At 44.5% G+C, this 26,420-nt stretch overlaps 1 protein-coding gene across 2 annotated transcripts in view; it reads right to left on the reverse strand.

The window, feature by feature from the left end:
* Window positions 1-26,420, reverse strand: part of ALK (ALK receptor tyrosine kinase) — a 728,813-nt gene that overhangs the window by 88,519 nt on the left and 613,874 nt on the right. For both annotated transcript variants that reach the window (XR_001738688.3, NM_004304.5), the window contains exon 9: window positions 15,596-15,765. Coding sequence is in view for 1 of the 2 variants with exons in the window: in NM_004304.5 (NP_004295.2) it covers window positions 15,596-15,765 (170 nt within the window). In the remaining variant the exon portion in view is untranslated. The remainder of the gene's footprint in view (window positions 1-15,595; window positions 15,766-26,420) is intronic.

Genomic DNA, 26,420 nt, shown 5'->3' on the forward strand with positions numbered 1-26,420 from the left:
GGGAAAGGAGGCTGGGTTCCCCAGGATAGAAGAGGCTTCCCCTTCCTCTCTGTGGGCAGCCTGGTCAAGGAGAAGGGAAGCGTTAGCCCTTTGGGGTTCCTTCCACTCTCTCACCAATCTGTGTTGCCTAAGAACGTGGCAGGGGAGTCTCCTCTCTTTCCCAGTGCTTAGCAGCAGAGATTTTGCTCCTGACCCTTCATAGTTCGTACCTGCTCAGCTCTTTCTGTTTCTTCAAAGAGGACACTTTTGATTGCATGGGTTGTTGTTGCTTTTTCTTTTCTTTTTTCCAGCCGGTGGAGTTTGGAACTTGTTATTAAAACAGACTTGGCTAGAGATCTTGGTTGGAGGCTGGCTTTGCATAAAGAATGCATTCGCCCTGACTCTTCTCATTCAGCTCTACAGAGACGCCTTTTGAAAACAGACTCAGCGGGGATCTGGGAGGTGGCCATCTGGGCAGTGGGCCAAGTCTGGAAGGGCAGCTTCAGAATTGGGCGCCTCGGAGACTCATCGGGCAGATCTCTGCCTGAGAAATGCCGATGCTGCTCACGTACGACTCAGAAAATGTACCATCTCATTCAGGCAACAGACTGTTAATGGACAGCGAATATAATGCCTTATTTGCCACCCTGCCAGCCTTAGGGATTGACAAACCTAATTAAGTTCACTTAATGATTTTAAGTAGCTGACAGAAAGGTTTGTGTCTGATGTGGATGGAGGGAATGGCGAAGCTTTGGAGGGCAGAGCAGGATGGAGTGGCTGGACTGGGTAGAAGGCATTTGCCAGCTGGGCACCATGTCTCACATTCCTTCCTTGGCCATTTAGTGGGCTCGGAAGAAGGGAGTGTCCTGCATCCCTTTTTGCTGCTGGTGCTTGTCTGGGCCCTGGCTGCTTAGGATAGAGCTGGCAGGTACTGTAGAGGAAAAACACTTTCTCCAATTTCTCGCTGCACAGTTAATTTGCTCTGCAAAAGTCTTCTAAAATGGGCTGTCATGAAGCTTGGGTCGCAGTAGGCATATCTATTAGAATAATATATGTGAAGAAAAAGCCCTGCCACATCCCTCCTATTATCTGTATAATGGACTTCAGCTCTAAGATGAAGATGGGAGCTGATGGACCGCTTTGGATTCCTGGGACCATCCTTGGCCATGTCAAACGCAATCATGGCTAGGAATGTGTGTCTTGGCTCTAGGAGTCTTTAACTTCTGCACAGTAAACTGGAGATGAGCTGGACATTCAAGGCCATACTCAGGAGTTGGGAACATACCCCTCCTGGCTCCATCCCACTCTTAGAAGTAATTTACCACCTCCTGCCTTGGTTTCCCCTCTAGGCATAACGACACCAGGAGCATGAGTAAAAGTCAACACAGAGCTTCCAGGGCTTTCAAGGGCCATAGAGATCTTTCACAATGAGTCTGGCTTGGTGAGGAAGCCCTTCTAGAAATAAGAGAGAAAATGAATTTTCAGCCAGGCTGAGCAAGCATGGAGAATCACTCAGACCCTTCCACATTCTCAGTTTGAGGCTTCCAGGCATTCTGTGCTCACTTTCGGGGGCTCAGCCTAAAGGCTCCTGGCTCCCTCCTGTGCTCTGGTGTGTCACCAACTGGAAAGGCCTGCTGCAAGGATGTTCCACCACAGCAGATGGAGACCCATCTCTGGCAAGTTCCTGTTTTTCTTTCATTCTCGAAATCTGTGTAGTGTATGTTGAGCTCTGCTGGGCCCTGGGTTTTGATGAGGAAAGACATTGCTTCCTGGAGCCATGGTCCAGCAAGCGAGGGGCCTGTGCACAAAAATACTCGACCTACAGTCAAATGCCAAGTGCCCTAGGGAAGGATTCAAGTGCCTCTTGGGCCCCTGCCATTCTTTTGACTTGTGTGGTTGCAATGGAGATAGTAGCGGATGTGGGATGAGAGCTCAGGCCTCTTGCATCCCTGGCCAATTTTCCCATCATCTCTTGCAGAACCATCCAACTTGTCGAATCTCATTTAGTCTCATATGTACTCCGTACCATCGGAAAAGTAGAGCAAGCTCCTTGGGATGACTGGGGGCATGAGGGCTGTCTGGAGCTAGAAAGGCCCGCCATCCATTCTTCTTGGAGGGACAGGGATGTCTGCTCCCCGTTTCTTGGAACACACAAACATTTCCTCTGTCCTCTGTTGCTGTGTTGGCTTGCGGCTTGGGGAGCTGACATGGTACCGAGATGGCAGCACTGACAATGGCGAGAAGACCCAGAAAAAGGGTGGTTTCTACCTCTCTTCTCGCCTGACCAAAAGCATCTTTATGAGAGTAAATTAGAAGTCTTTTCTGCTTGGTGAGGACTAGTTTCAAAAAGTAGAGTGGAGTGAAGACTGGGTCTATATAGTTGGTGGGGCCCTGGGCAAGTTGCCAAAACTTTTAAGGTGCCATCTTGGTTTTTAAAAGAATCTATGTAAGATGTGTTTTTTTCCCCCAACAATGGAACCCTTTGTTTAGCATGAGATGCTAATTTATTGCTCCTGTTTTATATTATATGTTTACTAGTAACATGTGCTTCCTCAAGCAGTGCCACAAATGACATCTCTCCCCCTCTTTCTTTGAGCAGAGATTATCTGCGCAGGTACTGTAAATCACATACTTGTGCCTATAGCTAGGAGTGTAGAGATGTGTAAGACGTGGACCTTGCTCCCGAGGATTTCAGTCAGTGATGTGATTCACGTTATTTACTGACCGGGAATTGCTGAAGTCTCTTTTAGTTGTGCCCCCTATAGAGCTAGAAGCTACTCAAGCTGGAAAAACATTGCATCTGGACAATGAGAGAGAAGTCAAGAAAGACTTAAAATAATGAAAAGTCTTGGAGAATGGTAGAACTATGGGCGAAACTCTCACTAGGCAGTGGGGTGTGCTGGTGGGAGCAATGTGGAAGGTGTGGGTGGGACACCAGTCAGGCAGCTGGAAACCCAGGTGTGGAACCCAGGTGGACATAAAGATATTTGAGTCATCTGCATAGAGGTAAGGGTGGAAGTTATGAGCATTGATGAGGTTCCTGGCGCGGGGGTGGGGGCAGCATAGATAGAACTGGATTCTTTGCTTCAAATATTGGAAGCTCAATTATCTCCTAAATTGCAGGCTTTGTGTTTAGGGAAAGAAGGGGCTGAGAACACAGGGCTACATTTTCCGAGACATTAAGAATTATGAAAAACATACACATCTGTTGACTTGTAAGCCAAGCTGTGGATGTTACCAAGAAAATCTTGAGCAGATTCGAACATCCTGTTATTTTAAAGAGGTTCACTTAGTGCCATTTTGAGCAACTGCCTCCTAAACCAAGCTCATGGGCCGGATCTGTCTCACTGCTTTGCACTCTTGATTGTGGAAACTTAGCAATCAAAAGCAACAACTTGTCCCAAACGTCACAGTAAATCAGCGTTAGAAATAAGATTTAAAGCTCAGAATTGCTAATCTACTCCTTGCTCCAATGATCTGGGATATTTTCTGAGAAAGAAACAGGGCCAGATCCTTCCAGAATTATGAATGTTTGATTTCTATATATCAATGCCTGGTTGCACATCGTGTGCTGAGCCACCGGCCGCATCTCTTCTCCTCTTCTTGAACGGCTGAAGCTGCTCACGTACAGCTCAGAAAATGCACAATCTCGTTCAGGCAACAGGCTGTCGATGGACAGTGAATATATTGCCTTATTTGCTACCCTGCCAACCTTAGGGATTGACAAACCTAATTAAGTTCACTTAATAATTTTAAGTAGCCCATGTCTACTTAAGTTCGCCCAAGGCTGTCCTGAGCCAGTGGTGCCATTTGGAAGACAGCAGAGGAAGAAGGTTCTTCTCCTCCAGGTTCTTTCTTCACGCTTTCTGAGCTTCACACTGAGGCTCCAATCACTTGCCACTGGGCCCCTCAAAAGACCTTCCAATATCCCCCATGCTCTGTGCTTCCCGCCCTCCAGCCTATCTCCGTGCTCAGTGGCTTTCTTATTTTTTCTTCTTTTTTGAGACAGAGTCTAGCTCTGCCACCCAGGCTGGAGTGCAGTGGTGTGATCTTGGCTTACTGCAACCTCCACTTTCCAGGTTCAATTCTTGTGCCTTAGCTTCCCGAGTAGCTGGGATTACAGGTACGCCACCTTGCCCAGCTAATTTTTTATATTTTTAGTAGAGATGGGGTTTCACTATGTTGGCCAGGAGCCAACATATGTCTTGAGCTTCTGGCCTCAAGTGTTCTGCCCACTTTGGCCTCCCAAAGTGCTGGGTTTACAGGTGTGAGCCATGGTGCCTGGCCCTCAGTGGCTCTTTTTTTTTTTGGAATGGAGTCTCTTTCTGTCGCCCAGGCTGGAATGCAGTGGTGCGATTTCAGCTCCCTGCAATCTCCGCCTCCCAGGTTCAAGTGATTCTCCAGCCTCAGCCTCCCAAGGAACTGGAATTACAGGTGCATGCCACCATGTCCAGTTAATTTTTGTATTTTTAGTAAAGACGGGGTTTTACCATGTTGGCCAGGCTGGTCTTGAACTCCTGACCTCAAGTGATCTGCCTGCCTTGGCCTCCCAAAGTGCTGGGATTACAGTTATGAGCCACCGCACCTGGCCTTCAGTGGCTGTTTATTACCTGTATTCCTAAATCCAAAACACCTGGCCTAATATTCACACTCACTCTCTCCCAAAAAGATTTCTCAGGATTCTCTGACACAACCAGGTTGGCTGTTCTTGAACCCACAAAAAACATTTCTGCATCTCCAAGCCTCTGCTTTCCCTGAAGGCCTTCTCTGGAATGCCTTGTCCCTTTTCCATTTCTCTAAGACTTAAATTTTCCTCAAGCACCAGTTTATAAAAAGCTCATTTTCTCCGTGATGGTTCATCTGACTGCTCCTGTATCTGGACGTCAATGCACCTGCTGAACCCTGGTCATGATCTGTTGGAACCTGCAGGGTGCCTGTGTGCTACTGTTTGCCTGTGGAGGTCCTGTGATCTGGCAAGAGCTGATCAAACATCCTTTTCCATCCTCTGTGCTTGATGGAGGCTTAATATATGTTTGCCGACAATGTGTCAGCCAATGACATTTCTCCAGTCACTTCTTGATTCCCTGTCTTGCCCAGATCCAGATACCTGGATCTGCCATTATATACCAGTGACTTCCAAATGTGGTTACGCATGAAAGTCAACTGGGGAACTTTAAAAAATACAGATTCCTGGTCCCAATATGTCATCTGTGAATCAGAATCTTTGTGTATGAGATCTGGGGCTCTGAAAGAAAAAAATACGTTTTCCAGGTGATCATAATGTTCATCCAAGTTTGGAAACCATCGTCCTACACTGTCCTGCTAGTTTTAAGCCTTTTCAAAAGCACTTTCTCTTGTTTATTTATTTATTTTTTGTTTTTAGAAATGACAAATTCGGGGGTGGGGGGAAATTCTGAGGTGGTTTCTGCCAGAAAGTAAGATTTTGCTGCATCATAAAAATTTGGGAATGAAACATTCATACCTTAGAATAGAACCTGGAATTGATTTCAGCCTTGAGTTATGAGGCTTTGTGGAGAAGAAGCGTGATCAATGCTCAGCATAGCTAAATGAAGAAGAGACATTCTCAAGTGACACTCTGATAGATGGCCAGACATGAGAGCTATATTCCTTGACTTAGTCTGTGACACACCATCTCATTTTTTTTTTTTTTTCAAATCTAACTCACTTCTTTTATTTGGGCACACAGCTAGACTACATTCCCCAGCACCCTTTGCAGTAGGTGTGGCCATGTGACTTTTTTTACATTATAAAATGTTTTATTAATGAAAACAAGCTTTGAGAAACATGGTGCATTGCAAAAGCTAAGAAACTCATCCACAGAACCTTGAACGCTTCTTGTGTGCACCATGTATTCTAGAGTTTTTCCAAGTCACATTTAATGTTATCAGTTTTGAGTTACTAAATTCAGAGGAGTCTTATTTCTCACTGCTTGAATTTTTAGGAAATACGACGAAAGCACATTGTAAACCACTAATATTTACAATAGTCAAAAATGAGCTCATAATAAAATACATTTAGGCCATGTTTCAAAGAATACTTAACAGGTCAACATCATTCTGCGTTACTGTTGGCCTTGTGTCTTACACACAATAGATGCCTAACATCTAATGACCAAGACCTTCAACTGAATTATGTAACCATTTTCTTTGATTCTTACATGTGCCAATTTTAGACAGAAACCTTAAATGATGATACAGAAGCCACAGTATGATATTACAGGTAGTGTGGTAATTCTAACCCTGAAAAAAAATCCCAATGACTGAAAATTTTTGTTTCCTAGGTACGAAGCATAAAAACCAGCCCAGATAAGGCAAACAAAAAGTCAGTAAGGAAATCCAAAGAGAGCAGATGGCAAAGGAGGCAATGTGAGCGGAGCAGAAGTGATGATTCATAAAAATCTTCCTGTTCAAGGCTTCCTAAGCTCTTTGCCCACCGACTGGCTGAATGGAAAGGATTCCAAGGCCAGAGGAAAGGCCCACCCTTTTCTCTGGCCTTGGAATCCTTTCCATTCAGGGAAGGAAAAGGGTGGAAGGGGCCTGGATCCCTGAATGATCAGGTGGAAGGCCACCCACCAACCAGCATGCTTATTTTTAATTTCACACGAGCAGGAAATAACATTTCTTTTGTTTACAGCTCCTGGAGTGGAGATGTAATGTTACTTCAGGTAGTGTCACCCCCTCTCACATACATGTGGCACATACCTAGGTACTCAGGTGTGTTCAGTGCACCTGGCATTGTTGGGTTGATGACTAACACACTCATGGGGGTGGGAGGGATGGGTGAACTTGGTCCTTGACTGGCTGCAGGAATCTGCAGTATTCTTCCTTCACAGCTATAGCCTTCCCCTCTGCAGCACACTCCTGCACTACTCCAGGACTAGGGACAGGTCTGAGTAGGGCAGGGGGCATAAAGGAGCTTGGCCCAGGGCTCGGGATGCAGATGCAGCTCTCCTGTGCTAATGTGCTATTTGCATAGGCTTTAGGCTCATTGACCGGGTTTCTGTCATGTTCTGGAGGCCTGGGGCCTCGTCTTGTCCTGGTTTTTCACTTGGGTCCTGACCACACACCCATATCCCTCTCTGGATGACTGATCTGGCACCCCAGTCTGTGCCTGGTGTGCTCCTACAAGTCAGAGTCCTTTCTTTGGCTCTTAACTGCATGGCTGGGCCCTGCAGGTACAGGCTGACCTCTTCACGGCTGACAGGGTCTTCAGGTGGCCCAGGCCTAGGCGCCATAGCACAGTTCTTTCATATCAGCTGCTGATGTGTGATAACACCTGCTGCCTGTTGTCACTGAGATTCATGGAAAAAATTTTTTGACCATGAAAGCATGGTGTTTGGAAAAGGGTGAGTGTTTGAGCTAGAAAACTGTGCCTTGAACTGGGTGCGGTGGCTCATGCCTGTAATCCCAGCACTTTGGGAGGCTGAGGCGGGCAGATCACTTGAGCTCAGGAGTTCAAGACAAGCCTGGCCAACATGGTGAAATCCCATCTCTACTAAAAAATACAAAAATTAGCCAGGCGTGGTGGTGGATGCCTGTAAGCCCAGCTACTTGGGAGGCTGAGGCAGGAGAATCGCTTGAACCCAGGAGGTGGAGGTTGCAATGAGCTGAGATGGTGCCACTGCACTCCAGCCTGGGCGACAGAGGGAGACTCCTTCTCAAAAAAATAAATAAATAAATAAATAAATAAATAAATAAATAAATAAATAAAAGAAAATTGTGTTTTGAATCCTGACTCTTCTGCTTCTTAGTTGTGTGCCTCTGGACAGATTATTTAAACTACTCTGAGTCACAGTTTCTCATTGATAAACTAAGGTCATTAAAATCTGACTTATAATGATGAAGATAAACGGGCACAGATGCTTGGTTCAGTGAGAATGCCATCCCTCTTCTCCTGTCCTCGATCATTATGGCCCCAAGAGGCACAGGCCATGGGCTCCAGGTGGGACCCCAGCCCTGCCAAAGTCCCCTCAGCCTTGCAGGCTGCTGATGAAGCCAGGGACTCTGCTCCCACGTCCCTTATCATCAAGGTAAGGAGAATAAAGCATGGTGTGCACTTGAAGTGTTTTGAACCCCTTGGGGAAAGACTTGATGGGTTTAGTCAATGTAATTTACCCTGCATGGCTTATAATTGCCTCTGAGACCACCATTTTCTCCCAGTTCAAAGAACTGACTCAGCCTAATGCCAATAAGCATGTCAATGTCCCCAGCCCCTGTAGCTTCGGGAAGGGACACTTGTGCTGCCACAGCAGGTCATGAGTAGAGAGCACCTTTTATTTTCTTCACTCACCATGTGAACGAATCGGTTTTGCCTAAGTGTATATATATATATGGCATCAGGGCAATTCAACTCCCCTCGCGAGAGGCAGGTGAGACATTCCTCTCCCTTCTGCCCCATTTCCAACTTTGGAGCCTGCAGGTCTACTCTGGGGTAAGTTCCTGGCATGTGTCTGCTGAGAGTGGATGAGCAAATGCATGTCTACCTGGGGTGGTAGTCATTGCTCTCTGCTTCTATTCGTGTGGGAATGCCCAGCAGAGGGAGGACTCACCACTGGCAACCAGACAGGTGCCTGTTGGGAAGCAAGGAGCCCCAACAGCTGGGGCTTTACTGGGCTCCTTCTGCTCCAGCTCCCAGGACTCGTGTTCTGTGATGCCGTGGTCTTGTCTTCCCGCCAGCCTCCCTAATTAGATGGAGATTGAGAGCTGGGGCTGTATTGCTTGTCTGGGTGTGCCCATCACCTGGCACCCAACACTGCAGTAAATGTTGGTGGACATAATGCCTCAGGGGATTTTGGAGGTTTGTACATTTCATGCTTGGAAACCTTCACAGGATGCTGTCTCGTGAAGTGAAAGGAGGGGAGGAAGGACCTCCACAGAGGGGCCTCTATGTTTAATGGCAAGTTCTTAAACCCCTCTGGGCCTCTGTCTTTTCAGCTGAAATTAGGGAATGACATCTACCCTAGCTGCTCAGATGCGAGCCTGAGTGAGAACCTTGTGTTGTGAAGGAGCCAAGCACCCTGGAAGGGGGCACAGGGCTGCCGTGGATGGGGAGATGTGGGCAGAGTGAGGAGGCGCAGGAGCTGCTGGGACTGTCAGCCAGCTTGTCCAGCAGAGGGTCAGTAGGCGAGTGATGTCTGCTCCTCCTCATAGGCATCCCTTTTTCCTGAGGTGGAGTTAGAGGCGGAGCAGTTACAGATGAAAATGCTCCTAGGAGGGGCAGACAGGCAGGAGGACAAGAGCAGATGTGGGGGGCACCCCTGGGCCATGTGCTCCTAAAGATGAAGCAGGGCTCTATTTAGCACAGTGTACCAACCTTGTGGCTGGGGTCTCCTGTTGATCCTTACAGCAGTGAACTTTATTCTCAATGAAAGGGCGATTTGTTAAATGTACAGTATAACTAAAGGTTATTTTTATGCCTTGGTTAGACTTGGTACATGAATAGATATGCAAATTAAAAATGCCTATCAGAGACTGTGCTCCAGTGCTGGGGAGGAAACACATGGTGTGGGGATAGTCAAAGGCATGCCGGAGTGGGAGGCACCTGGAGAGGGGACACAATGGCCTGGAAGGATAAGGGGAGACTCCAGCTGTGAGCCTGAGAGGAGAGGCAGGCAGGCAGGGGCCGTGCGGGGAATGGTCTGCAGCAGGAGGTGGTGGTGGGAATTGCTAGGATGAATTTCAGGAGCTGGTTGAAGCAAAGGGAAAGCAGTAAACTAATGTGAAATGGATAAGAGATGTGGCCTAAAAATAACCAAGAACCTAAATATTTTGTTAGTAACAATGGCTATTGACCAGGTGCGATGGCTCCTGCCTGTTATCCCAGCAGTTTGGGAGGCCCAGGCAAGAGGATCACTTGAGGCCAGGAGTTCAAGATCAGCCTAGGCAACATAGCAAGACCCTGTCTGTACAATTTTTTTTTTTAATTAGCTGGGCATGGTGGTGCACGCCTGTAGTTCTAGCTACTAGGGAGGCTGTGGCAGGAGGATTGCTTGAGCTCAGGAGTTTGACACTGCAGTGAGCTGTGATCATGCCACTGCACTCCAGCCTGGGTGACAGAGTGAGGCCTTGTCTCTAAAAATTAAATTAAAAAATTAAAAAACAACAACAATGGCTACTGTTTTTCAAGTTTCTGCTACATGCCAAGCCCCATGCATCACTTCCTCAGGCAGTACATAGGAGGCAGACCAGCCTAAAGTTTAAGGGAAAATTATTTAACCTCCATAGCCCTCAGATTTCTCATATTAAAAAGGGGATTAATTATAATATCTACCCCAAGGGGTTGTTTTAAGGATGAAATTAGATAATGCATGTTAAGTACTTGTTACATGACTGGCAGGCAGTAAGCACTCAACAAACGCTAGCTCTAATCATCATTTATAACTCTTAAATGGCTTTATCAGGATGCTGTGATTCAATTAACAGAAATGTGAATTAAGCAGAATTTTTTTAGGGGTGTGTCTAGACCTGCAAACTGAGGCTTACCGGAAATCTCTGGATTTCCACTCACTGAAATCTACTATTTCTCTACACAGATAAGAACAAGTAATAAAAGACGCTCTTCAATGCCTTTCTCATCACAGAAAGATGCTACACAAAGGGAGAGTGTTGTTATTGACAGCATCCCACATAAAATGAGAATTCTGTCGGTGATAAAAATTGAATAGAAAAAAAATCTTGGCTCTATGGAGTTTCTGGTCTAAATGCATGAAGACATAACTCTCAGTTTAACCCATCTCATTTGAAAGATGCATTGGTGAAACACACCACTTGTCGTTTAGGACAAAGGATTGCAAAGGGAACAGGAAATCTAAATATCTCCAGAAGGAACAATTTTTCTTGTTAGACTATGTATGTAGTGTACGGCTAAAAGCCTTTATAATGATAGTGCTGAGGAATGGAGCCTGCACAGGTGTGATAAGTTGTGTACTTTATATTTGACTGTACAATTGCAGTGATTTGTGGGACATGATTTGATCCATGGTGTTTCCAAATCCATCTCATAACGAGTTGAACTTAGCATGGCTTCTGCTCTGTAAGCGTGTCAAAGCTTAGGATAGTGTGGGAACATTGTGTTTAATTTAGTAAGATATATAGAGAGAGGAAAAACTAGGGGTATATCTCTGCAAGAGACTGACAATTAGAATCAGGAGAGAGAACTTGCCTTTCTTCTATTTTGAGAAAAGGTAGAATTAATTCCAGCAGAAAGAGCAGCAATTGAATGAGGGAGGTGGGGCTGATAAAGTGGGGAGAGGATGAGGAAAAGTAGCTATGTGAGGTGGATGTAAAGTAATGAGATAATTTTTAAGCACACATCAAGCTGATATTTGAATTGGTGTTGTCCTTCAAAATTACCTTGAGAGCATTTATCTGTATTCAGAGGACATTGCCACTGCTCAAAACATCTTAGGCATTGCTCTTAGAGATTTTTCCTGTTACTCATTATACTATGGTTGTACAGTTAACATAATTCTGTAATGATGACAGACTATTACATTCCTTCTATCGCTTTACATGTTTGTAAGTGGACAGAAGAAATATCATTCCATGGATCAATGCCTCCCTGTCACCAGGCTTTATGTACCTATGACTTATTCACCGAGCCTTCCCGAGGACTACTGTGTGGTGGGGGCAATCTGACTAGAGCCCTTTTCTCTCAAGTGCACAACTCTAGTTCTCTCTATCACAAGGACCAGGGCACCCAATTAGGATCAAAGTCTTTCTTATGAAGTGATTCCAACAGGAATGTGACCAGAGACAAAGAAAGCACAGGTACCAGGCAAGTCCCTAAAGATAATTCCTTGTCACAGAGTAACAAATGCTGTTTTGGTTCATCTGATGGGACACAGGTGTTGCTCTGATATACAGAACACTTTGCAGTAGTATTTATTATAAAGCAATCATATCTGTTTTGTCGGACACAGGTTGAAGAGAGGAGGAATGTTAGATAGATTCCATCAAGTGAAATTCTCAGTTTATTCAACTGGAATTTGAAAGTATATGCAATTTCCCTCAATACATCATTCTGTCAATGCATATTTATTGGGCATACTACATGTTAAGTATGGTACTAAAGATTCAGGAAGCAGTGATTTATAAGACACACACAATCCCTACCTTGTTAGTTTGTATATTCAGATATAAAAAAGATAATAAAGAGTGATAAATTATTATAGGGATGTTTCAAGAGCCATGAGAATATATTGTGGGTACATATAGAGTATAGGTGTCTGGGGATAATTTTTTTTAAGTGAAGGAAGAGTAGTATTTAGAGAGATGGAAAGTAAAGGCAGAACATTAAGTTCTTCCTTTAACTTTAACATGCCTTTAACATGGCAACTGCAAAAGCCTAGAAGTAAGAATGTAGCATGGTACAACTGAGTGGAAGGAAGGGGAGATTGAGAGAGAAAGAATGGTTTAAGAAGCAGCTGGTGAAACTAGCGCTGGACAGATCACACATGGGCTTAAAAAAGGTCTTATTAGGGAGTTTTAAAGGCATCCCCAAAGCCACAGGAAGCCACAGAAGGATTTCCAAAATAGGAAAATGGTCAGATTTCCAATACCGTTGACTAGAGCCTGGAGTCTCTTAAGTGCTAACCTCTAAGCCCTAATAAAGTTACTTTAAAAATTTTGTAATGTGTGAAGGTTGAGGAACCTGGGAGCAGAGGTGATTTGGGACAGCATAGGGAATAAAATTTCTGCCGCTTTCAAGGTTCAGGGTTGGGGAGCTGTCCACAAAGTAGGTGCTGAATAGCTGAAGCCAGGAGCTGCCTAAGGAAGCTTCATGGGATGTGGGGCAGGTGGCGCCAGGTGTTACCGCCTACCTCAGAGGTGGGAGGAAGAGAGTTGGTTTTTCTTTGTCTTTTATCCATCCTATTTTTCTATTTTCCTTGCTTATGTCTTCCTCTACCTTCTCCTTTCTCCCATTTTCATCTTCTAGCAATCTGGGCAGCTATAGCTGACTCTCCCTGAAGGAAGAGGGAAGAGAATGCTTTTTGCTCCTCCATCAGTGACTTCTCATAAGGAGTCAACAGAGCATTGTGAAAACAAATTCATAAGAAGCCCGCCTTTATCTAAGGGTTGGATGACTGGTTATATTGCTAAATTGGCCATCCCAGACCCTTCTGAGCCATTAGGTGGGGAGATATTGTCATTATTATACTATAGTTATTAGTAGTTGAGCATTTAGTGTGGATCAGGCAGTTAAACAAGCACTTTACTTCTCCAAACCTAAGAGGAGACTGTGTTGTCTGTTTTATAGAACATGGCTTGACTTGGAAGATCAGTGGTTGTGATTTGTGCTATTTGTTTAATAAATTATTACTGAGGCCAAATAACTGAAAGATGCAGAAAATAAAATCTATTAATACTCTGTGTAGACTCTTTCAATAGTCATTTCATTTAGTCTCATAACAATCTTGTGAAATTATACTGTTATTATTCTCATTTTACTGATGAGGACACTGAGGCTCAGAGAGCTTAAGTAATTGGCTGAGGTCACACAACTAGTAAGTGACCATGGCAGTTTTCAAACTTGGCACTATTTGATTCCAAAGCCTCTGCCCTTTCATCTAGAGTGCTTCTTTGGTTTCTTTGGGGCCAGTCACATCTACAGTCTAGTTTGATTTTAGCGAATGAAAACTGCTGCACTTCATTTTCCTTCAGTACCATTTGCCTCTGGATCTTGATGCTTCCCATATCATCTGTACCTCTGGGAGGGCAGCTTCCAACCTCAGAGCATGTCAGTGGTATGCAGGCTCCCAGCGAATGGAAGCACTCTTGTTTTCTGTAATTGTACACTTATTAGGTCACAAGGCATCATCAAACCAAGCTGTCTTTTGTCGGAATCCCCACTGGACAGTTTGGTCTCAGTATCAATACTGGAAATGTTAGTCTGGTAAACAGCCTTTAACAGGGAAGAAGGAGGCTGAGAACGAAGTCTCCTTCAAATGAAACTCTAGAGGATGAGAGTGAACCGAGTCAACATCTTACTTTAAATCCCCTGGAGTAGCTATGAAAGAGAGAAGACTTGCTGGATTGAGGAGAAAAAAAACACTTTGATTCATCTGAATTAATTTCACCTCTCCCAGGAGGGAGGATTCTTTCACCACCCTCCTGTTCTCCACCAACTGCATGCAGCTCCACAATCCCCAAAGACAAAAGACTAAACTATAGTGGGCAGAGCTCACACTTCCTCCTTTCTCCACTTAAATCCATTTGTCCTGGGGTCACTGATCCTTGGAATGTCCTTGGGCTTTGATCGTTAACCCACACACATCTGAAGGAGTGGGTAGCTAGTGCTCAGAGTGAGGACAATGCCTTTGTCCTTTGACAGCACTGATGCAGTTATGAGCTCTTGGACATAGCAGACTGTGGGGTTTGGGCGAAAAATGTGAAACCAGCTTTACACTTATAAAGCTGCATGCCAACTAGCATCACCCTCCACCTTGCCTTGAGCCCTCTGTCCTCATTTTTTGAAGGTGGATCCACCAGGATGGTAATTTGATTGTGTTTTAGGAGTCTCAGGCAGAGGCTGCTGTGGGTTGTAAGGGTTGACTTTTAGCCCATAAAAGATGGCTGTCCCCCATCCAGATCCATTTATCTGTCCCCTTTATAGAAATGGCCCCTCGCCCCTCTTTTGTCTGGAACAGATCAGCACCCACCATGAGGGTTCAGGATGATACGGCAGGGTCACATGAGTGCTGCCATGCAGGGCCATCTTTATTCAAGTACGGCTTGCTCCAGGCTGACTGCAGGTGGCAGAATAGTGCCATCCTGGGAGACAAGTGGCAGTGAACACTCCATGGTTCCTGCTCCATTGCAGAGCCACGTGGAGTTAATGATTTTCTAGTTCAAACCTCTCAGCTTAAAGGTGAGGAAACTGAGGCCCAAAGAAGTCAAGGATGTTGCTCAAAGTCACAGAGGCCATTAGTGATAGAGCCCAAATAGGAACTAAGACCACAAGTAGAAGCATTCCTCTGTTTACTGAAGAATTTGCCATCCTCTTTATCAACCTGCCTCAGGACCTGACTCAACAGAGAACACTGGACTCGGAGTCGGGCCTGGGCACCAGTCCCAATTCCGATTCCAACTTGCTGGCACTTCACCGTTTTGATTCTGTTTCTCCCCTTATAACAGGACAGGAGTGGTAAATGATGATAAGGCCTGTCCTACCTACCTTGCAGGTTTTCTTGTTAATAAGGATAAAATAAAAGTGGGGAAAGTAAGGCAAAGTCTATCATATAAGAGAACATGCTATATACATGTAAAACCAAACTGTTATTTGGGGGAAATGTGAGTTGTTCAATTTTATTTTTCCTCCAGACACTGGGGGTAGCCAACCAGGCCATACCAGTGGTCCCGAGACAAGTGTTCAGTAGCCTCTTCATCCCTTGGAGAAGCTTGTAAACTGCAGAAAGTGTGTAACCTGCAGAGTGTGTGTGTGTGTGTGTGCACGTGCGTGCACGCGCACATATCGGTGTGTGGGCACATCTGCATGTGTGTCTTGGGTAAAAGGCACGGGGAAAGGGAAGGCATGATTTCTTTTTCATTTTAGCTGATAGAGGAGAAGGGTATTGGGGGAGATGCATAGAGCCTACCTGTCAGACACATCGAGGAGAGGCAACACCATCCACTGCCACAGGCTCAAGCCTTCATAGGCGGCGACATGCCAGACCATCCTGCCTTGCTCCTTCCCGGTTTTGTTCTCCACTAGCACCAAGGACACGTTTCCCCTCAAGACTCCACGAATGAGCCAGGACATTCGGAGCTGTGAGGGCGAGAAGAGTCAGAGGACAAGGTATGATTGCTGAAAGGTCCCCTTTCTGGAATTCTCCACTGAAGTTTCAAGGACCTTATAAGAGACTCAGCTGAGTTCAGCCTGGTGAGAAGAGCTGGATGCCCACCACCTGTCTCACCAAGAGGCTTTCAGTGAAGTTCAAGTATCCCATTTCCTAGGATAACTGAACGAATCTGTTAATTTTTTTTCTTGGGCAGGGACAACTGATGGGCAGTTTTGGAACTTTGTTCAGGTTGATGTTATCATCCTACCTTTCACAAGATTCTGCCTGTAAGGTGATATCAAGATCAATGGGGTAGTAAATGAACTTCCTAAAGAGTAGCCAAAGATTCTTGCCTGTGGCCCCAATTTACTTTGTGACCTTGGACAAATGATTTTGTGACTCAGTTTCTTTTAGTGATTTAGGTATCATAGATTTTTCTCTCTTCCCCAAAGACTCTAATAATCTCATTTGAATGGTGTCATGTCACATGTCAGCTAACTAAAGACCCAATGACTTGACACCTGTGGCCACTGGCAGGCAAAGGCCAGACAAAAATCTACATATCAAGATCTTTTAATATGGGCATCTTTCGAAGAGGATGCCCACTTCGCCAAAAGGAAGTTACAACTGTGTTTTTCATTGTGTCTTTATTAAAAGTTTCTGTGGCATTGTTCCTAAACATTTGAAAGAAAATTGTAACTAATAACCTTTGTAAGAAAGTTTAAGTACGATCATATTCAGAGGTAGGACATACTATAAACAAGGTTTCTGGTCTTTGTGTTTAAAAACCTAGGACAACTATATCATATCATTGCCTAAAATAATCCTGTAAGAAAAAATGGTGGTTATTGTAGAAAGAAAGGTAAAATATGTCTTATGGTAAACTGGCAGTTTCGTCAGAGTAAAGGTACCCCCTTTTTACTGATTCTCTCTGAATACCTGCTTCTTTGTAAATTACCACTCCTTTGTCTTCCAGTCCTTGATACATGGTTGCCTCACAATTTGATTGAAGAGGTTAAGAACCATGACTCACGGCAGCCCCAAACTTCCCACTTTCTTGCATACAAACCCTTCACTAATAAGGTCACACCAGGGCATTGGGGCCCCCAGGGACTGATTTACTTCTGAGTCCCTGGACCTTGTAAGCCTGGTCTATAACCACAGACACTTCACTTACACCTTTCCCATTTCTCCATATCCTGGGTAGCAAATATGCATCTCTACTGAGACCTCCTAGGATAAATGAATGAATCTGTTAATTTTTTTTTCTGGCCTCACTTAGCTTTCTTGTACAAGCCATGATTGGAAATTTCAACTCTACCCCTGCTAACTGTAAACCCTTTCAGCTCTCAGCCCATGCCATGCAGTGCCTAGCTTGGGATCACGATGCTTTCTCCTTTTGCTCCTTGGCTGAAGAATACTGCTAATTTGAACTTCCATGAATTCAGACTGTTGAGTCTCAATGCCCTGGATGTGAGGTGGTACTTGTTCATTCTCTCTTGATTTCCACAGTTGATTTCCAGACACACATAGTACAATGGGTGTTTCAAACTCTCCCTCGCATACTGACACTCTCACCCCCTGGTTCCCACCTCCTAATCCACTGATTTGATTTCTACTTTACTGAGAAGATCTACTATGTCAGGAACAATCTCCTTCAGTCCCCTTCTCTCTTTTTTGTGGGCCCAGTGTTTATTTATCCTCCTTTCTTTTCCTTTTCTCTCTTAGAGGAAGCTGCATCCTTCACTGTCTTCCACGTTAGCCCAGCTCATTTTCTCTCCCCCAGTCCTTGCTCTTTTAGTTACTGCCCTCCTTTCCCTCCTTTCCCCAGCATCTCAGAGTCAATCTTTTGGCTCCTTTGTCTACAAATAAGATCAAGGTTCACCCATTCTGGAGAAATATCCTTTATTTCATCCTCTGGGCTCCTCTGGCTTGTAACCATTTCTTTGCCCCATTCAGATGCTCACATCTTGAACAGCTGGGATGTAACTGCTGCCGCTAGTTACTTGTTGCTCATTCTCTCTTTAAGTTCTTTCAACCTGGTTTCTAGATAATCTCCTCATTACTCTAGCAAAATAGAGTACCCATGTCCTTTATAACTCTTTGAACTCTTCAGAGTCTCCTAAAGTGCCTCTCCCTCTCCACTCTTTCTCTCTTCCGAATTCTCTTGTATATTTCTATCACATTCTCCTGTTGATCATGCTCATCTGTGACTTGGGCTCAACAACTGTCGATGGTTTCTCATGCCCTGTCAAAAATTATGGCATTTACATTCCTCTATTATCTGAGGAAATCAACTTTTTCATCATTCAACAAATATTTGTTAAGCACTTATGCTGGGTCACATGAATTCTCCATTTCAGAATGGTCTAAGACCTCTAGAATCAGAGAGTTCTGAATTCAAAACCTGTTTTTACCACTTTGGCCTAGTTATTTAATCATTTTGAAGCTCAGTTTCCTATTCTCTAAGATGAGAATAGTTTTATCTCTTATAGGGTTATAGGGACTGTTAACTGAAATAATAATTGATGTAACAAAATATTAAAAAGGCATTTTGGCTGAAGCATGGAGGCAGTGGGTGCTGCATTTCAAAGGGAAGTGTAAGAGCACAAGGTTGCAGAACTTTCAAGAGAGGTGGATAAAAATGAATGACATAATTCTTAACCCTTCACTCATACTTTGCATATTACAAAATGCTGGAGGTTGACTATTAGGAGAGAGTTTTTGGAAGGTGCTTTTGGCATACCACGAGTTCCATTTCACTCTCCTGCTAAGAAGAAGGTGGGAAGGGTGTTCCATCTTCATCTCAAGTCAAGAGAGAATGGTTTTATGATACCATATCAAGGACTTGATACTTACCCCTGCAGTTTTGGAAACACGGTGGATTAGTGTCTGTCTCCTACCTGGAAGGTCTAAAGTTTGAACTAGGGGCTGGCTAGCTGCTCTGATGGCAGAACAAGGCAAGGTGGCAGCATCGGGTGGCCTACACTCCCAGAGTTTGCTGGGGCAGAAATGCATGAGTGTTGCATATGGGTGGGAGGAGAACCATGTATAGGGGAGCCCATGCAGGGTCACTGTAGATCTTGCCTAAGAGGGAGGTAAATAGACAATAGTAGGAAGAAGCTGCCGGTATCTTGAGATGCCCAAGAGTGGAGGAAGGTGGAAGTGACCACCTATAATAGAGATGCACATACCTGGCCGGGCACGGTGGCTCACACCTGTAATCCCACCACTCTGGGAGGCCGAGTCAGGTGGATCACTTGAGGTCAGAAGTTTGAGACCAGCCTGGCAAACATGGTGAAACCCCGACTCTACTAAAAATACAAAAATTAGCCAGGTGTGGTGGCAGGTACCTGTAGTCCCAGCTACTCAGGAGGCTGAGGCTGAGGCAGGAGAATCCCTTGAACCTGGGAGGCAGAGGTTGCAGTGAGCCGAGATTGTGCCATTGCACTCTAGCCTGGGTGACAGAGCAAGACTCTGTCTCAAAAAAAAAAAAAAAAAAAATGCATGTGCCCTAAGTCAAGGCGAAAAATTCTAAGCCATGGTGGAGGGGATGAGGAGAAAGGTGGATCTACAAAGGAACCCCAAAAGCCCCTGTGTGAGAAACAGTAAGCCTTGGACATTTGTTACATCCAGAGAACACCAATGCAAGATTACCCAACAGTCTCCAATAAGAACTTTCTTGCTCCCCTGAAATCCTTTCTGTGTCTATGCTTACAACCCCAACAAGTCAGAAGTCAACAAGATGACAGAAGAGGAGGAGAGGTTGGGTGGAGAACTAGAGAGGCCACTGACCACACCCTTTCTCTCATTTCAGGCTTTCCATCTGCAATAGGACCAAGTTTGGAGGCGGCAGGAGAGGGCAAGAAGTGATGACTTTAAAGCAAGATTGAAATTGTGACTGGATGAGCATGCTGATTACTAAAAAGCCTGTGTTTTGCATTTTTAAGTGACTGAAGAACTGTCTGCATTACCTTCCAGTGACCAGAGAAGTAGTCTGTCAGTTTTCACCTAGCAATCCACACAAGGAAGCTGAATGAATGCGGGTTCCAGACTCCCCTACACCAGTCTACTTGCCAGATTTGCACCTGACTTGCATTTCTCTGCTTCTATACTTTTTATTCTTTTGTTTTCTCTACCTGCTTTTTCCTTCTGTCTTCTTAAAAAATGAGATCTCTTTCCTTTTCAGGAGGCCTTTTTCTTTTCATCCATCTCAGAAACCACTTCCTCCTCCTCTTAAATCTTCTAAGGTTATTGGGACCTGCTGCCTTGTCTTCTCTCTCTACCCTTGGTCATGAATTCCTTCAAGGCAGGGACTGTCTTATTCATCTTATGTTCACAGTGGCTGTCAAGCAAGGGCACGTTGTAGGAACCAATCAATGTCAGCATGAATAAAATTGCATATCTATATAGGGAGACACTCTCATCTTTGCCAGGCTTTCCTCTTAGAGGTAGTCAATCAACTTTCCATCCTAGGAAGCTCCTTGGCACTTTCTTACATTCTATGGGTCAGGGACCAGGGAAGGGGAGAAGTTCCTCACTTTCCAGCCACTTGGCTATATTCTAAACTGCCCCCTCCTCAGCTGCTCCCTGGAACTTTACAGTTTAAAGTAGAGTCTGCTGATGGTATGAGCATGTCAGCAAGATGCAGCCCTGTCTTGTCTATTCTGGGACCAGGGGCCAGCCAGCAGCTGAGCTCTCTCCATCTTCCTGTTCTGTGTTTTAGGCCAATCAGGCCGGGCAAAAGAGAGAGAACTGGACTGGCCACCCAGGGATGGTGTGAAGGCTATGGCATCCTTAGCCTTCTGAGGCAATCCACCAGGATCCTTCCTGGGATTAGTCCTTAAGGGAGATCATCATCTACTCACTCGCAGATAGTTACTGCACTCCTACTCTTTGCTGCATACTCTGTTCTTGAAGATGAGCTCCTGCCCTCATGGAGCTTATCATCCAGCCAGGAAGATAGAATTTAAATGAATGATTACAAATGTTCTGATTGTAGCAAAAGGTGAAGTAATTGGAGCCACTTGACAGTCAGGACATATGACACAAGATAATCGAGGCAAGACACATGACATCACACAGTAAAGACTTAGGTCCAGACAGCCACTGGACCCAACTGTTCAGAGCTAGGAACAAATAGGAGAATTAAATAATTAACTTCCGGCCGGGTGCGGTGGCTCACGCCTGTAATCCCAGCACTTTGGGAGGCCGAGGCAGGTGGATCACCTGAGGTCAGGAGTTCGAGATCAGCCTGGCCAATATGGTGAAACCCTGCCTCTACTGAAAATACAAAAATTAGCTGGGTGTGGTGGCAGGCACCTGTAATCCCAGCTACTTGGGAGGCTGAGGCAGGAGAATTGCTTCAACCCGGGAGGCGGAGGTTGCAGTGAGCCGAGATTGCATCATTGCACTCCAGCCTGGGGGACAAGAGCAAGACTTCGTCTCAAAGAGAAAAAAAAAGAATTAACCTTCTTTCATCTTATAATGATACCTCCTATGTTTATAGCAGAAGACACTCAACTACAGCCACAACTCAAGCCAAGGCATGCACTCTCTGAGTTTCAACAATGTCTCATTCTAGAAATAGATGCAAAAGGCCTGGAATAAGATTGCAAACTGGCAGTCAGTGAATGGCTAGCAAATGTGTATTTTTTGGCCATTTTTTTTCATCCACTGAGTGTTCAGTAAGGGAGTATATCCAGGCAGATGTTCTTCCTCAGGATATAAGCAGTCCACTGGCTAGCCATAGGCAGAAGAATGAAACTGGATCCCACCTCTCGCCATATACAAAAATTAATTCAAGATGTATTAAAGACTGAAATGTAAGACATCAAACTATAAAAATCCTAGAAGAAAACCTAGGAATAACTCTTTTGGACATTGGCCTAGGCAAAGAATTTATGACTAAGACCATAAAAGCAAATGCAACAAAAACAAAAATTGACAATGGGGACCTAACTAAAGAGCTTCTGCACAACAAAAGAAACTATAAACAGAGTTTATAACAGCCTACAGAATGGGAGAAAATATTTGCAAACTATGCATCCAAGAAGGGATTAATATCCAGAACCTATAAGGAACTTAAACAAATCAAGAAAAAACCAAATAACTTCATTAAAAATAACACCTTTGCCCTTTGTCTGGGCAAAGGACATTAATAGACACTTCTCAAAAGAAGACATACAACCAGCCAATACACATATGAAAAACTGCTCAACAACGCTAACCACCAGAGAAATGCAAATCAAAACCAATGAGATACCATCTCACACCAGTCAGAATGGCTATTATTAAAAGGTAAAAAAAGAAAAGATCTTGGTGAAGATACATAGAAAAGAGAATGCTTACACACTGTTGGTTGGAATGTAAATTAGTTCAGTTGCTGTGGAAAACAGTATGGAGATTTCTCAAAGAACTAAAAACAGAACTACCATTCAACTCAGAAATCTCACCACTGGGTGTCCACCCAAAGGAAAATAAATCATTTTACCATAAAGACACCTGCAGTCACATGTTTACCGCAGCACGATTCACAATAGCAAAGTCATAGAATCAACCTACGTGTCCCTCAATGGTGCATCGGATAAAGAAAATGTGGTACATATATACCATGGAATACTACAGAGCCATAAAAAAGAAAGAAGTCATGTCCTTTGCAGCAACGTGGATGCAGCTGGAGGCCATTATCTTAAGTGAGTTAATGTAGAAACAGAAAATCAAATACCGTATGTGCTCACTTATGAGTGGGGGCTAAACAATGAGTCCACATGGACTTAAAGAAGAAAACAATAGATACTGGGGACTCTAAAAGGTGGGAGAGTAGGGGGAAAAGGACGAAAAACTACCTACTGGGTAGTAAACTCACTATTTGGGTGATGGGTGCAATAGATGCCCAAACCCCAGCATTATGCTATTGCATAACGTAACAAACCTGCATGTTTATCCCCTGAATCTAGGAAAAAAAAGATACAAGCAGTCCAGAGCCTATGTCTGTCCCTTGGCCTACTTCTCACCTGTAGTTATAATCGTAGTTTCTTCCACATTGTGCCTCTAAGAGCCAGTCAGTGGTTTCCTGCTTAGAGTGTGGTCCTCAGACTGGTAGCATCAGTGTTACCTGGGACCTTGTTAGAAATGCAGAATCTGGCTGGGCGCGGTGGCTTGTGCCTGTAATCCCAGCACTTTGGGAGGCTGAGGTGGGCAGATCACAAGGTCAGGAGTTCTAGACCAGCCTGGTCAATATGGTGAAACCCTGTCTCTACTAAAAGTACAAAAATTAGCCAGGTGTGGTGGCAGGTGCCTGTAGTCCCAGCTACTCAGGAGGCTGAGGCAGGAAATCACTTGAACCTGGGAGGCGGAGGTTGTAGTGAGCTGAGATGGTGCCACTGCACTCCAGCCTGGGCAATAGAGCAAGACTGTGTCTAAAAAAAAAAAAAAAAAAGAAAAGAAAAAAGAAATGCAGAATCTCTGGCCTGATGCCAAATCCCTGTCCCTGTGCTCCTGTGACTCATCCCATGACCTTTCCAGAATGCACTGGAACCACCTGCCCTTTGCATCAACATTCATTCTTCAGTGGCTTGTCAAACCATCCTCTTTTCTTGTCTGCTGACTATGGCATAATTTGGAGTCTGTGCTTCAAGGCCAATGTGTATTAACTGTGTGACCTTAAGCCAACCACTTACCTCCTCTGAACCTGTATTTTGTTATAGACAAACTTGTGATAATAACCACCACCCCTTCCCTGCCTGCCTCAAAAGGGGATTATGAAGTATGAGATGAAGAATGTGGAAGTAGAGCTCCTGTGATATTGTGAATGACATGGTGAAACCAGTGGTTTTCAACCTGGGGTGCAAATTAGAATCAGCTTTCCAGACGACTAATGTCTGGGCACCACTCCAGAGACTCTGATTTAAGTAGATGTGGGTAGGTCCTGGGCATCGGCAGATTTTAAAATTTCTCCACGTGTTTCTAAAGTGCAGCCTGGGTAGAGACCTCTGGGGAGCTGGGTTACTTAGTGCAGGAAGTGCCTGACCCTCTCAGTGAGGGGTCCATTTTCATCTTGGACTTTGAGTAAGAGGCAATTCTTAATAACTTACAAATGGCTTAAAATGTGCCCACCATCACCAAGGTGTAGAGGGGGCGATTTTCCTGCAGCGGGGAGTCTGCTGCCGTCAGCTAAGGGCCTTCTTGGGGCTGTTACATCGCCTCTAGAAAAAGACTGAGAATAACCGAGAGAGAGAAAAAGAGAGAGAGACCCCGTGAGCAGTAATGACCCGAGGATGTATACGGGGCTAGAACTACCCTCTTGGACCTGCAGATAAGGTTTTTACCAATTTCTTAATTAGAAGACCTGGAGGCCTGGTATCAGTTCTTACTGAGTATTCCTTGTTGATCACATGTGTCTAACATTAGACAGCACTCACTGTATGTGGTTCCTAGAGCAGACTGCAGGCTCAAGTCCCTCTCAAAGACCTTCATTTCCCTTACACAGTCCTTGGTTAGAGGTCCCTTGATATCATTTTATGTAAATACCCATGCCAAGTATACCCAGCTTGATCTTGGCAGTCAAGGTTCTGGTCCAAAAACACCCTTAGAATTCCATCTTAAGACCTATTTCTATCTGGGTGGCCTACAGCAGAGGTCCTCAACCTTTCTGACACCAGAGACCAGTTTCGTGGAAGACAACTTTTCCACAGACCAGGGGCTGGGGGTTGGGGGGTAGTTTCAGGATGATTCAAGCACATTACATATATCGTGCACTTTATTTCTATTATTATTACATTGTAATAAATAATGGAATAATTATACAACTCACCATAATGTCAGATCAGTGCAATAGGGCTCGCACTTCTATGAGAATCTAGTGCCACTGCTGATCTGACAGGAGGCAGAGCTCTGGCAGTAACGCGAGGGATGGCGAGTGGGTGTAAATACAGATGAAGTTTTGCTCACTTGCCTGCCACTCACCTCCTGCTGTGTGGCCTGGTTCCTAATAGGCCACAGAGCAGTACTGGTCGGTGGCCTGGGGGTTGGGGACCCCTGGCCTACTGGATATGAAGTCATTTGTTAATTGACTCTTTACTGAATGCCAGGAAGCTGAACTAGGCGCTTGCACGTAGGCTTATCTCACTGTATACTGACAACATCCCTTTGTGTAGATATTATTCCACCCATTTTTCAGATGCAGAATTGAAGGCTTAGAGACGTTAAGTCAGTCACCCCTGGGCACTAAGCCCACAGGCTGCAGACCTGGAGTCCACACTATGCTCTGTGTTCTTTCTACCATACATGGAGTGCAATGCCCATGTAATATATTATGGTACTCCTTAAAGCTTTGGGGGCATATTGCAAAGATTTTCCAGATCTTTGTTGCTCAGTGTGTGGTCTTTGGATCAGCAATGTGGGCGCTACCTGGGAGCTTATTAGAAATTCAGGGTCTCAGGGCCTGCCCCAGCTCTTCTGAATCAGAATTTATATTTTAACAAGATCTTATCCTAGAAATACTTTCGTGCTGGAGAAATTAGGGAGCTAGTGAATTTTAATGCATTTACAACCATTGTCCTTACCAGACAATTAACAGTCGTGTGTGTGTGTGTGTGTTTGTGTGTGTATTCACACAAATATGCGAAATCTGACACAAATTCTAAATTATATTTATGGGAAATAACGCTTGCTGATGCCAGTAACAATAAAATTTTTGATCCTTCTAGACACATCCTAGTAGATATAGGTTATAAATGGCAGTGTTTGACTAATAAACTCTTTTATATGCAGACAGCAAATGAGACAAGTGAGTAGAGACAACACCAGGAGTACGCCACCAGCAATTATATCTTCTGGTTCCAGCCAGCGCTTTCACAAGGGCCATTTTTTCCTGCCTCTCGGAAGGGACTGATAGACTTTCCAATTATGTGGTACCAGTGTTTGTCATTTTATTAATTAAAGTCCTGTATGTAAAGCCGGAACGGCATTGTGGCTAGGCCTAATGCTATTATTTCTCTCATGGCCCATTCCTCCTCCAGAGGTAATTATTGCAATTTTATGTCTTGAATATGCCCCATGTTTGCTATGCATACCTCGTGGCAGCTTCAGGACAATCCCTTCAACCCACAGAAAATACTGTGTGTTCAAAAGCCTGCAGTGATCAAAAGAGACTCAGTGACATCAAATAATATCTATTCTGCATGCAACACCCCTAAATGTAGGAAATGTTCTGACGGGGCAGGTGCTATCTTTCTTCAAATTTCTGAAGACCTGCATGAATTCCAATAGTAGAGACAAAACCAAGGCTAGATGCTGTAGTGTGTATTTCACTTCAAGAGAAGGAAACACATTTTTAACAGAGATGCTCAAAGATGAGCTTGCATGGTGGGGGTACTCCCTGGGTATTCCCCATCCAGTCTCTGTTGAATGACTGGGATTGGAATTGTCATCAGGAACATCTCTGTATGGGGGTTAAGGCTCTCCCTCAATATAGGGTGCCAGAGGGTTGTAATTCTCAGTGTGAACCGGTAATTTTGACTTCCCTGGTTTCAGTGTGGTATCTTCTTAACTTCAGCTGAGAATACTGACTCACTGCAAAATCCAGTGTTTTTGTTCACCATCTTCTAGTTCACCTGGAAAAATGAAACACCAACTCTCT

This window comes from Homo sapiens, chromosome 2 (assembly GCF_000001405.40).
Source record: "Homo sapiens chromosome 2, GRCh38.p14 Primary Assembly".
Classification (NCBI taxonomy): domain Eukaryota; kingdom Metazoa; phylum Chordata; class Mammalia; order Primates; family Hominidae; genus Homo; species Homo sapiens.